We start from the raw sequence: 12,628 nt of genomic DNA on the forward strand, positions 1-12,628 counted from the left end.
TGAGGCGACAATGCCATTAGGGTATTTTTTGGAAAAATTTTAGTGTGAGAGACAAAAGCCAAATTCAAACTGGCCTGAGCCAAAATAGGTAGGAAAGGGAGAAGCGGAGACAGGGAGGAAGAAAGAGAGAGAACAGAAAGAAAAAGGGAGAAATGTCGAAAGGCAAAATTACAACACATTTAGTTAAATGATTGAATTGGTTTTTATTTGTAATTCATGAATTGGGGCAGCATCTCCTCTAAAACTTTAGGAAAAGTGCTCTGATGAGCTAAACAGAGAAGCTTGGCTTTATAGGCAGAAAAGGGTGAAGAAAGCAGACACAGGGAACAAAAAGCAGATTGGTAAGCTCAGGTTACTTCAGGTTACTTTCCTTATAAAGGTTAAAGTAGAGGGGACTTCCTTATCATGCTGGCTACAACTGGCCTGTTTGGGGATTTGCATATTATCTCTCTCTGTCTTGAGTTCTGGGAAGGTCTGATGACTTAGTTTCAGTTTGGTGATATGGAACTTAGCATGAGTGACTCCATCTTGGTTTGGTCTACTGGGGCCTCCTGCAGGAGCTCAGCCCAAATCAGTGACCTCCTATAAATTTCATTTAATAGAAAAGGAAGGAAGGAAGGAAGGAAGGAAGGAAGGAAGGAAGGAAGGAAGGAAGGGAGGGAGGGAGGGAGGGAGGGAGGGAGGAAGGGAGGAAAGAAGGAAGGAAAGAAAGAAAGTTGCTTATAAGTTGCTTATAACTAAAAAGACCAGCTGGACCCAGGAGCTCTGAGGTTGCTTTCAGGCCTCTGTCCATCTCTTAGTTTTCCATCCTCAGACAGGCTCTGCCCTGCCTTACAGTCTAGCATTGTTGGCCAAAGGTGACTGACTGGCCCAGCTTGGGCTATATGTCCTTCCCTGTGGCCAGAGAGATGTGTCTCTGTGATGGCCAGGCTTGGGTCACGTACTCCCTCCCCTACCAGAATCACATGAAAAGAGGGAGGAAGAGCCGCTTTCCACCAAAGGAAACTGAAGTGCTATTGTCAGAGGGGTTGCTGGGCAGACCAAAAAGATGACAATATCTGCTCCAATCGCTCGGGTTGTTGGTGCTTGGCAGATTTGCCCCTACGTCACTTTTCAGATGTGGATAAGACTGAAGGTGACCACAGGCTTCCGAGAGGAAAGCTGCCAATGGGGGTGTGAGAGGAGGGGGAATTCTTACTCACCAAGGTTAACACTGTGCACACTGTTCTCCGAGGAAGTGGGAATTTCCACATGGTGAGTTCCCTTCCCTGTACAATGAATTACTATCTTGATGAGAAACCCGTGGGCAGCTGGTTGAGAAGAGAAAGGTATTCTCTGAATGAGAGGGAATTTACCACCTTCCTTTCAATGGTGACAGTTTTTTCTGGTGTCACCGCAGGGTGTGGATTGATTCATATACAAATATACATATCTACATAGATGCCATTCTGCTAGCCTCTGCAAAATGCATGCCTGGAGACCATTTCTGCTGCCTAGGAGATGTCAACTTTGTCACCACCACTCTCTCTCCACCACTCCCACACCCTGCAGGGGCCAGGTGTGTGGGTGGGGAGCTCCCCAGCTGGAGGCCAGATTAGAGGTCTCTGTGTGGTGGGGATGGGGAGGATGGGGTGGGAATGAGGTGGTAGGCCACTGGCAGTGGTCCAAGTTCCATCCAGGATCTGTCCTAGGCCTCTCCCCAGGCTGTCGCTTCCACCATTGAATTTCTAACCTGGATCTCTAAGGTTATGAATATCTCATTCCCGCATCCTGGGGTGCTCAGACATGTCTCCCCTGAGTCTCTAGCTGGGCTCGTGGCTGTGATCATTGTCCTCAGAGTTCCATCCTCCCAACAAAGGGACAGAAGAAACACAGGGCCCACTTTTCTGGATTCTGAGTTGGAGCCAAGAAATTCTATCTGCTGCTTCCTTCCTGTTGAATTATCCCCCAAGGACCCCTTAGTCCCTCCAGTCTCCTCCAGAGGCCTATAGCTGCCCCAGCTCCCCATGATGGATACCTGGCTCTTTCCTACCCAGAGGAAAACGCAGGCCCTTCCCCAGCCCTGCACTGAACTCCTGTGAGTGGCTGAGGAGATGAGGAGGTGTGAAGAGTGAGTGTGTTGGGGAGGGAGGGGTCCCCTGCCACCAGGTACCAAGGACTTCTGCCAGATCACCAGAACTGACACCTGGTTCCACCGGCCAGCTGTGAAGTGTCGGCCCTGACATCAACAGCTGACCTCCCACAGGGCCTAAGGAAACGGAATTGTGGGTAAATGAAACATTTTATTTATTTTATTTTGTTTTATTTTTATAAATTTTTGGGGAGACAGTTTTGCTATGTTGCCAAGGCTGGGCTTGATCTCCTGACCTTAAGTGATCCTCCTACCTTGGCCTCCTGTGCTGAGATTACAGGTGTGAATCACCATGCCTGGCCAAGAAGTGAATTTGTAAAAGACATGAGGAAAGGCCTGGTGGAAAGCTAACAGTGAAAAAAATTTTCAATACTTGCTATAGAAACTAAAGAAACTCACAATATTTTGCTCTCTATTGGATCATTTCCATCAACATACAAATAAATACCTGTTATTTTTTCCATCTTTAAAAAAATGCCTTCATTATAAGTGATTCAACAAATTAATAAACGAGAAGGGAAAAATCTTCTCTATAGAAGAATTCCAAATAGCATATGTAGATACTCTCCCCTCCAGGAAGCCGAGCTTAAATCCACTCTCTTTGAGAGTGGACTGGATTTAGTGACTCACTTCCAAAGAGTAGAGTATGGAAAGGGAAAATAGTAACTTTATAGGAAAGAAACCCAGCAGGTACCTTGTTAACCAAATGATGAAGGTTAACATCACCGCTGATAAGTCATGTTGCTATCATTCACCCGCTGATACGATCTCATGAGAAGGGCAATTCCCGACTGTGGTATTCTTCAAATCTATTGAGTTATAAGAAAACATGAGATAAACCCAAACTGAGGAACATTCTACAGAATACATGACCAGTATTCTTCAAAGCCCTTAAGGTCATGATAAACAAGGGAAGACTAAGAAGTGATCACAGATTGGGATGACTGAGACATGATGACAAAATGCAGAGTGATATCTTGGAACAGAAAAAAGACATTAGTGAGAAAATTCAAAAAACTCTGATTAGAGTTGATAGTTGGGCTATTAGTTTTATACCAATGTGAATTTCTTAGTTTTGACAAATATACGTGAGGGAAAGCTAGGCGAAGGGTATTCTGGAAATCTCTACCCTGTACTGTCTTTTCAACTTTTCTATGAATCTAAAGCTCTTCCAAAGATAAGTCTATTAAAAAAATAACAAAAACTTCCTCTAAAATTTAAAGACGGACAATATCAGGTGTTGATAAATCTGTGGAGAATTTGGAGCTCATACATTGCTGGTGAGAATGTGAAATTATGTAGTTATTTTGGAAAACAGTTCGGTAGTTCTTATAAAATGAAAGATACATCACTAAATGACCCAACGATTCTACTCCTTGATATCTACCCAGTAGGAAGGAAATGATGTCCGTACAAAGACTTGTATACAAATATTCATACCATTTTTCATCATAATGGCCCAAAACTAGAAACAACTCAAATGTCCATCAACAAGTAATGGGTAATCAAATTGCGGTATATATATACAATGAAATATAACTCAATATAAAGTAAGAAACTACTCATAGATACAGCAACATGGATATTTCTCAAGTATATGCTGAGCAAAAAAAGCCAGACACAGGAGCACATCCTATATGATTCAATTTATACGACATTTTAGAAAAGGCAAAACTAATCTCAGAGACAGAAAGCAGGTCTGTGGTTGCCTGGAGCTGCGGATTGGGGAGGGGATGATGGGAGAGATTGACAAAAGGAGCACAAGGAACCTTTTGGGGTGATGCTGGTAATATATATCTTGATTGTTGTGGTGGTTACATGGATGCATACATTTGTCAAAAATCATTAAACTGTATACTTCAAATTTATTATATGTAAATTATGCCTTAATAAAGTTGATTTTCTGAAAAGCTTTCTTTGATCCGTTTACCCTGCCAGCTCCCCTTTTGCAAGACTCCTGAAAGAGCTGCTGATACTCACTGTCTCCACTTCTACCCCATATGTTCTTTCTGAAGCCCACCCCAGCCAGGCTTCTATTCCCATCATGCCATGGAAACCATTCTCATCAAGGCGGCAGTGACCTCCGTGTTGCTAAATCCAATGGTTAGTTCCCATTTCCCAGTCACATTTCATTTGACCTGTCAGGAGCATTCCACACAGTTAACTCCTTTTTCTTCCTTTGGCTTCCAGGACACAGTAGTCTCTTGGTTTTCTGCCTACCTCTGATTACTCCTCCTCTGTCTTCTGTGCTGCTTCTCCTTACCTCTCCAACCCCTTCATGTCGGCTGCCTCAGGATTCCCCTTTCTGTGCTCCCTCCTCGGATGATTTCACCAAGTCCCAGGGCTGTAAATTCCGTCTATATGCTGAGAATTTCCAATATGATTGAGAAATTCTATCTCTAGCCCAGACCCTTCTCCCAAATTTTGACTCATAATTCCAAAGGCCTACTTGGCATTTCTCTTTGGTTGTTGAATAGACATCTCCAACCCAACGTGCCCCAAACCGAACTCCTGATCTTCTCCCTTAAACCTGTCCCTGCTGCAGCCTTTCCTGGGCTGGCATCTTGCAATTTGCTCAAATAAAAAAACTAGGAGTCATCCTTGACTACCCTTTCTCAGGCTCCACTAGCTCTACCTTCAAAATACATCCACAATCCATTGATCTTTCGGCATCTTCACTGCTACTACATTCAAAATCACATAGCAATTCTTCATTTTTCCCAAAATTAAAGCCAGTGCCCTGGCAATGGTCTGCAAGGCCCTAAATGATCTGCTTTCTCCTTCCCGACACCTTAGCTCTGTGAGTTCAGCTCCCAACACTCTCGCCCTTGCCCAATCTTCTCCAGATATTCAGGTCTTTTTGTAGTTTCCCCATCATGTCAGGTGTGCTCCCGCCCACCTGAGAGCCTCTGCTCTACCTGTTCTCTCTGTTTGGGGTACTCTCCTGGCCAACTCGCTCACTTCCTTCAACTCTGTGCATTCAGACTTCTCAAATCTCACCTTCACAATGAGGCCAGCTCTGACCGCAGAATTTAATGTAACCTGCCCCACTCCCAGCACTTCTTATTTCCTTACCTTGTTTTATTTTTCCTTTGTTTTCAGAGCACTCACCACTTTCCAGTACAGTATATTATTCAACCTGCTTGTTTATTTTGTTTACTTTTCATTGTCTATCTACTCAAAGGCAGGAAACTGCTTTGTTCACGGCTGTATCCCAAGTCCTAGAGTAGTGCCTGGCCCGTAGTAGCTGCCCAGTAGGTACTTGTTGAATGAAGTAATAAAGTTTCACCAGCAAGAGCAAACTTCCTACCTCTGGCCTATCAGCCCAGGTCTGAGCAGACTGATCCAGGAGACGACAGAGAAAAGGTGGATCTGGAGGGATCCTGCCCTGTCCCAGGATTGGGAGAATTGAGAGAGGCTCCGGATTCTTCTTCATTGTCTTTGGTTGTGCCTCGTGACCTCAGACAGACCTGGGCCTCTGGTTCGCTAGGCTGCAGCTGTGTGCTCAGAGCCACTGCCCACCGCTTAACGTCATAGTTCTCAGGGGACCTTCCAGGAATACTCAGAGGACATATGTCTGTGACTGCACTGTCCAGGGTACCAGCCACTGGCCATGTGGCTACTGAGTACTTATTTGGCCAGTCCCAAATGAGATGTGTTGAAACTGTAAAATTTCAAAGACTTAGTACAAAAAGGAATGTAAAATATCTCATTAATAATTTTAAATATTGATTACATGTCAATACTATTTTGGATATATTGAGTTAAATAAAATATATGATTAAAATGAAGTTCACTTCTTTCTTTCTTTTCTTTCTTCTTTCCTTTCTTTCTTTTTCTTCTTTTCTTTTCTTTTTTCTTTTTGGATACAGGGTCTCACTCTGTCACCCAGGCTGGAGTGTGGTGGTGGGATCATGGCTCACTGCAGCCTCGACCTCCTGAGCTTAAGCAATCCTCCCACTTCAACCTCCCAAGTAGCTGGGACCACAGGTTTGTGCCACCACACCTGGCCAAATTTTTGATATTTTGTAGAGATTGGTGGGGGGGTTTCAATATGTTGCCCAGGCTGGTCTCGAATTCTTAGGCTCAAACATTTCTCCCTCCTAGGCCTCCGAAAGTGCTGGGATTACAGGCATGAGCCACCATGCCCAGCCGCTTGTATCTTATTACTCTTTTAATGTGACTACTTGAAAATTTAAAATTATATAAGTGGCTTGCATTATATTGCTACAGAATGGTTCTGGTGTATGAGGAAAAACAACTCACATCTAGAAATCAAATCCCAAGACCCTGAAAATCCACATTTCCTAAATCCAAACTGATGGCTCCTTTATTTCAAATAATACTGAGATACAGTGAAATTTCATTAAGATAAAAGCCACTTCAGAATATGACTAATTCAGTTAATGAGGATTTCTTTAAAAGCTTTGGCTTTGTATCCTTATATCATCTTGTGATGCTTTGCCTGAGGGGCAGAAAGCCCTCACAAAACATTCATAGTCTCCTCCATTTGTTCCTCAGACATTTATTGAACTCCTACAGTATGCCAGGAGCTGGGTGAGGAGTGGGGGATTCAACAAGGCTGGCTCCAGCCTCCCTTCCCTAAGCTTCCCTCATAACATTGCACACGTGTTGGGTCGCCCACTGAGGTTCATGTGGGCAGCCACGGAATCGGGGGCTGGGTGCCTGATCGGACCTGGGCCAGCGTCAGTACAGGCCTGGAAGAGGAGCTCAGGAGCTTGGGCCCTGAGCTTAGGCCTGTGGGCGGGCTGCTGGCGTCCGGCAGGGTATTCTAGACCAAAGACTTGCAGGGTGAAGAGGTCTGCAGTATGCCACAGGACCATGTGGAGTATTTTGAGCTGAAGACATTTGAGAATCAACAGCTGCAGGAAGAGGCTCTTCCTGAACTCCCCTTATCTTCCTAAATGCAAAGCCTCCCCAAAGAATTCAACTATTATAAATCCTTTCCCGGGAATTTCACAAGAAGAGAAGATTGACTCTTATCATTGAAGAGAAGTCAACACAAGGCATCACCTGGATAAGAAATTGCCTGAACGGATATTGTTACAAAACTATCCCCACAGTTCATGGGGACAATACATACTTCCCGTGGACTCACCTAAGAAGCTATTTATTTTTCCTAAGTTGTTTGGTCATGTAGAAGTTCCCCTCTGCATCTGCCCACTCCCTGTTAAGATGGCATATAAGCCCCAGATTCTAACCTCCTCCTGGAGTCAGCTTTTGTGTGTGTGTGAACTCTCATGTACACACAAATTTGAACAATAATATGTTCTCTTTTTTTTGGAGGCAGGGTCTCACTGTCCTCCAGGCTAAAGTGTAGTGGCATGATCAGGGCTCACTGCAGCCTCGAACTCCTGGGCTTAAGTGATCCTCCTGCCTCAGCCTCCAGAGTCACTGGGATCAGAGGCATAAGCCACACCATGCCTGGTTTTTTCTTTTGCTAATCTGTCTTTTGTCAGTTTAATGTACAGGCCCCTAAATACTGAATGTAAGAGCACAGAAGAAAAGTTTTCCTCCCCAGCAATGGTCATGCACTGACACTGCACATGCTGCTCAGAGATCCGTGTGCTTTGTAGGCTAAGGGAAGGAGGCTTTGTGTTCTCAGTACTAAACGCAAGGGGTGCATTGACCCTGGGAACTGTTTTGGGGATGGATATAAGAGGCTGTGGGAGAGTTTCAGGAAAGATGAGTCTGAGAGCCTGGGGAATGCCGTAGAGCTGTGACTTCCTAGAGGCCAGGCCCGGGGGAGAAGGGTGCCCTAACAAAGCTAGGAGTCACAGGGGAGCAGGGAAGACAGAAAGGGGCTCAGTGGCCAACAGGACCTGGCACCAGGAAGACATGTAATGAAAGGAGGGGTGGTCTAGAGAGACTTTCTCCTATCTTCCAAGATTCTGTTATCTTGCCATATTGTTTTTATGGGATTAAAAAAATAAAGTGGGAGAATCCAGGGAGCAACATCTCTAGAAAAGTTGCCCCTGGATCTAAGCTCTCTGGCCCTGGTCTTTCCCAGCAGGGATGATTCCTTCCTGACTTGGGGCTGAAGATCTGGACTGGGAATTATATGCTAAGTTTCTCATGAAAAGAGCAATAAAATTTACCCTCTGTTTCTGCCTCTTTCTCACTGTGCCAAATGTAAAGAAAAAAGAAAAGAATAAGAAAAGCAAAAAGGATTCACTAGAGATTGCAGGGCTAGAAAGGGAATAAGAAATGAAAACAACAAAATGTTATTTTAAATTTGCTTTAACAGCAGCTCAGAGATGCAGGTCAACCATTTACGAGAGGGAAGTGCCTGATACTTCAGGGATGGACTCTGGGCAGGAGACAATTTAGGATGAGAACCAGGGAAAACACATCCCCTGCCAACTTGCCACTGGGTCACGGAGAGTCTCCTTGGGGAAGGGGGGTTGCTTGAGATCTTGCCAGAGCCATGCACACATCTATCTGCTGGCAGAAGCGGGCTGCCGGTGGCCATGGGTGGGAGTGAAGGGGCTCAGCCTTAGGGGCGGGAAGTCTTTTCTTCCACCCAAATCCATTGTCTGAGTGTGAAAGTGCTTTCCTCAGCTGCAAACTGTATTTATGGCTTCTCGGAATTTTCCGAATGAAGTAACTTTTTTCCCCAGACCGTTTTCTTCACAACTGAAATTGGATCCCCACAGTCCATGGAGACAAACAAAACAGCATGACATCACCCGCCTGGGAGTTGTCATTTCAGACACCACGGCAGCCTTTTGTTCAAGATCAAATGGATGTGATTTGCCTTGTGGAGGTGGCATCCTGCCCGGGCGGAGGAGGGGATGGTTCCTGGAGCTCCATCTTGAGGATCTGGGAGGCCAGGAAGACAGCAGGTGCCCGGGCTGCCTGCAGGGCAGGACTGGAGAGGAGGGGACAGGTGGTAGCAGGTCCCTCTGCCTCCTAACTGCAGAGCTTTGAGATGATGCTCCATGACACAAGTCGTGACGGAAACAGCCCCACCCAACAGGGACGCTGACGTCTGTATCCCTTCTTTCTTGCCTTCTGAGGCTCAGGAGCACAGGACACTGACCTAGAGATTAGATGGCCTGGATTCGGCTTCTGTCTTGCCTTGCAAAGCTTCCAAGCCTCAGTGTCCTTCTCTGTAAATGTGGGGAAGACAGATTAAAAAAAAAAAAAAATCCCAGTTCTGTTAAGCTGCAGAGATGTGCCAGGACCAGATACAATCATAAATATATAGAACCAGAAAGCACAGGCTTGCTTCTCCTCTGCCCATCTCAGCTCTCAACGCTCACAGGAAGGGTCCTGCCGCTTCACAACTGTCCTTGGCTTCCTATAGGGAAGGCTGGGAAGATTGGCAAGGACTGTGTTCAATGTCCTCTCGAGCTAATAATTAAGGTATTATTTAATGAAAGCTCAAAGAGCTGAAGCCATCTGGGAACCTAATCACCCACTGCCTGCAGGCCTGACCAATTACACAAGAATAGAGGTTGACCTGTCTTTCAGCAAATAAATGCTTCCTAATGCAGCACAGGGCAGAGCTCTAGATTGTGCTTGGCCTAAAGAGGAAGTAATCATATAATTACGCTGATTATTGAGAGCTGCTGTGCACCAACAACAGTGTTGAGCGGCTTACACATCGCAGCTGATCCCCTGGTTAGCATTACTATTCCCATGTAACAGATGAGCTGAGTCAGGAATATCCCCATTGAACAGATGGTGTACCTAAGGCTAGGGGAGCAGGGGTAGGTAACCTGCCCACTGACACTCCATCATAGTGTAGGCTGGGGATCCAAACCCAGGTCTGCCTGAGTGCGAGACCCCTGTGCTCACCACCACACTCTTCTGCCTCCCAGTCACAAAAGAGTGGGTGTTTATGACAAGGAGTGTCTTGTTTATTTTCTTATGTATCTGGTAAATGGTGAGGTAGACACCAAGTTGTGTGTGTGTGTGTGTGTGTGTGTCCTGTGGTGTACTGAGGGTAGGCATGTCATCTCATCCTTTCACATCTATTCTTGTAACTCAGAAGCACTGTGTTTCTCATTACTACTTATTTTATCCAAATTAAATGACAAAAAAAAATCATATACACATACCTATTTTAAAAGGTTGACATTGAAATAAGTTGACTGTCTGTATTTATTCCATGGCTGGGAATGTTATTTGAGCAGTTGTAAACCAATAAACCAAAGTTAGGCTGTTGGCTGAGTCATTAGGGCTCCATTAAAGACAATGAAGAATTTCGGCTGGGCATGGTGGCTCACGCCTGTAATCCCAGCACTTTGGGAGGTCAATGCGGGCAGATCACTTGAGGTCAGGAGTTCGAGACCAGCCTGGCCAACAATGGTGAAACGCCATCTCTACTAAAAATACAAAAATTAGCTGGGTGGGGTGGTGCATGCCTGTAACCCCAGCTACTCGGGAAGCTGAGTCAGAAGAATTGCTTGAACCCAGGTGGCGGAGGCTGCGGTGAGCCGAGATTGTGCCACTGCACTTCAGCCTGGGTGACACAGTGAGACTCCATCTTAAACAAACGAACAAAAAGACAATAAAGAATTTCAATCAGTAGGAGAAAGGGGGAAAGGAGGCTCTGCCACATAACTCTGGAATTGGAATAACTTCTTTATTGTGAGAATGAATGAGCCTGTTTATTTAACAGAAACTGCATTCTGAGTAAGGTCAGGTGTTTGGTCTGTAGAACAGCATCATTTCGAGGGTGGGGAGCTCCAGGACCCTGCTATTTATAGCATTCTCTGAGCCAGGTGCAGGCAGCAAGGCAGCTGCTTACCTTCAAGCCTCTCTTCCACCTGCAGCTCAAGGCTAGGGCAGGGCAGGCCTTGGAAAGGTATAGAATTAGAAATAAGATAGGACAGAGCTCTTTCCACTGGGGACTGGGACTGGCACTTCCCAGAATGAGAATTCCAGAATGATGACCGGACAATAGCTGAAGTTATTCATTGAGGATGTAGTGCATTCCTGTTTCTTGTGACCAACACATACTTTTTGAAGATTATAAGAAGTTTAGTGGATTTCTGAGCTCAGCCATTAGAACTCTTTTGTAATTAGGCAAGATGATGTCACCACAGTTCTAGGGTCTTATAGTGTCAAAAATCATGACAGAACCGTTTCATGCTTCCTAAACAGAAAAAAATCTCAACCAGAAAGAAAATATAAGCTTCCATAATTCTCACTGACTCTTAGTTCTGAGAGTAGTTCTATTAGAGGAATATCTTTTGAAAGAATTTTGCAATTGTGACTACCAATATCTGAATTTTTACTCATGGAACTCAATCAAAATCATCCTCTTGAGTGTCACAGGATGTGCATTGGGCATTGTAAAATTTCATGATTGGTTAAAACGTATACACTTCCCTGTTCAATGTAAACCTGAGATTGGCTGGTTCGGGGGTTAGAAGCCCAGGCATTTTCCTTCTCCCATTACTGGAGAGATCTCTGGGCTCTATTGAGGCTTTCTTGAGAAGAGACTGCTAGAGTTCCTGAGATGATGCCTGGAAGGTTCTATGGGGTCTTATAAGGCCACTGCTATGAAAAACCATGAACAGGATTTGTAATTGATAATGTAGTTATACTTCCTCAACATATCAGAAATTTTGAGATAGTATGTAGATGAGTTGACCATAAGAAGCTGGAGTTTAGTCAATAAAACACATATAACATACATTGAGTCCCTACAGAGCACCAGGTCCTTTCAGATGTGGGTCTTCCTTCAAAGAAGCACCATGGACGGCATAATAGTTGAGCACAAAATCACTGGAGTGAGTTAGGCAGAATCTGGTTTCAAAAATGACTCTACTCCCTGACTTTAGGATACATACTTAACTTCTTAAGCCTCACTTTCTTTATGGGGATAATAACAGTATCAACCCTGGTAGGGCCTGGTACACATGCAGTACTTAAATAATACAGTTATTATTTGTATTAATCGTGATAGGTCTGTGAGGTTCCTATTATTTGTTTTAAACATGAAAACAGATTCAGAAAATGTATTTGATCAAGGTCAGTTCATATTAAGTTGGGATTTGTTGGCTCCAAGTCTACGTGTTTTCTTGTATAACCACAGCCTCCACTGTCTGATCCAAAATTGGAACTTACCTAAAATAACAAATAAATTTGGATTGTTCAATAAGGTGAAATATAGAACTGTTAGCTGGTTAAATATGACTGCCTTTCCCCCAAATCAGGGGATCTACAAAGAGAATTACCCAAACTTAAGTTATAGTGTAAGAATGCAAAAGCACTTTTGGGGTTAGGGTAACATTTAAGGATCTCTAAGTTTTATTTTCTCCTAAACTTGAATCACAGTCTAAAAGAACAGACTGTGCTGGTGGAATTGTACTAACTAGGACTATCCAAAGTAAGTTACAGATTTTTGCCAGCTTTCTGTGCCAGTGACCTAGAAACTACTTCAAAACCTATTTTTATTTCTTATGGACTGAAATTTCGGTGAAACAGTCCAGACAACTCTGACCCAGAGTCTTCAAATTT

General features: G+C 44.3%; 1 protein-coding gene across 1 annotated transcript in view, besides 3 other annotated features; it reads right to left on the reverse strand.

Moving 5' to 3' along the window:
* Positions 425-494: a silencer, noted in NCBI's record as "silent region_19417". NCBI's record gives its function as "represses an Ori minimal core promoter by ATAC-STARR-seq in GM12878 lymphoblastoid cells {active_cell/tissue: GM12878}" and the evidence as "EXISTENCE:reporter gene assay evidence [ECO:0000049][PMID:35858748]".
* Positions 1,134-1,293: an enhancer, noted in NCBI's record as "active region_27710". NCBI's record gives its function as "activates an Ori minimal core promoter by ATAC-STARR-seq in GM12878 lymphoblastoid cells {active_cell/tissue: GM12878}" and the evidence as "EXISTENCE:reporter gene assay evidence [ECO:0000049][PMID:35858748]".
* Positions 8,377-12,628, reverse strand: part of ANKRD46 (ankyrin repeat domain 46) — a 50,008-nt gene continuing 45,756 nt past the window's right edge. The window contains exon 6 of the mRNA NM_001270379.2: positions 8,377-9,264. Within this exon, the coding sequence (NP_001257308.1) occupies positions 9,202-9,264 (63 nt within the window). The 3' untranslated portion in view covers positions 8,377-9,201. The remainder of the gene's footprint in view (positions 9,265-12,628) is intronic.
* Positions 8,652-9,237: an enhancer, noted in NCBI's record as "H3K27ac-H3K4me1 hESC enhancer chr8:101522255-101522840 (GRCh37/hg19 assembly coordinates)". NCBI's record gives its function as "activates a minimal SCP1, AML or CMV promoter by ChIP-STARR-seq in primed H9 embryonic stem cells {active_cell/tissue: H9 hESC(primed)}" and the evidence as "EXISTENCE:reporter gene assay evidence [ECO:0000049][PMID:30033119]".

This window comes from Homo sapiens, chromosome 8 (genome assembly GCF_000001405.40).
Source record: "Homo sapiens chromosome 8, GRCh38.p14 Primary Assembly".
NCBI lineage: Eukaryota > Metazoa > Chordata > Mammalia > Primates > Hominidae > Homo > Homo sapiens.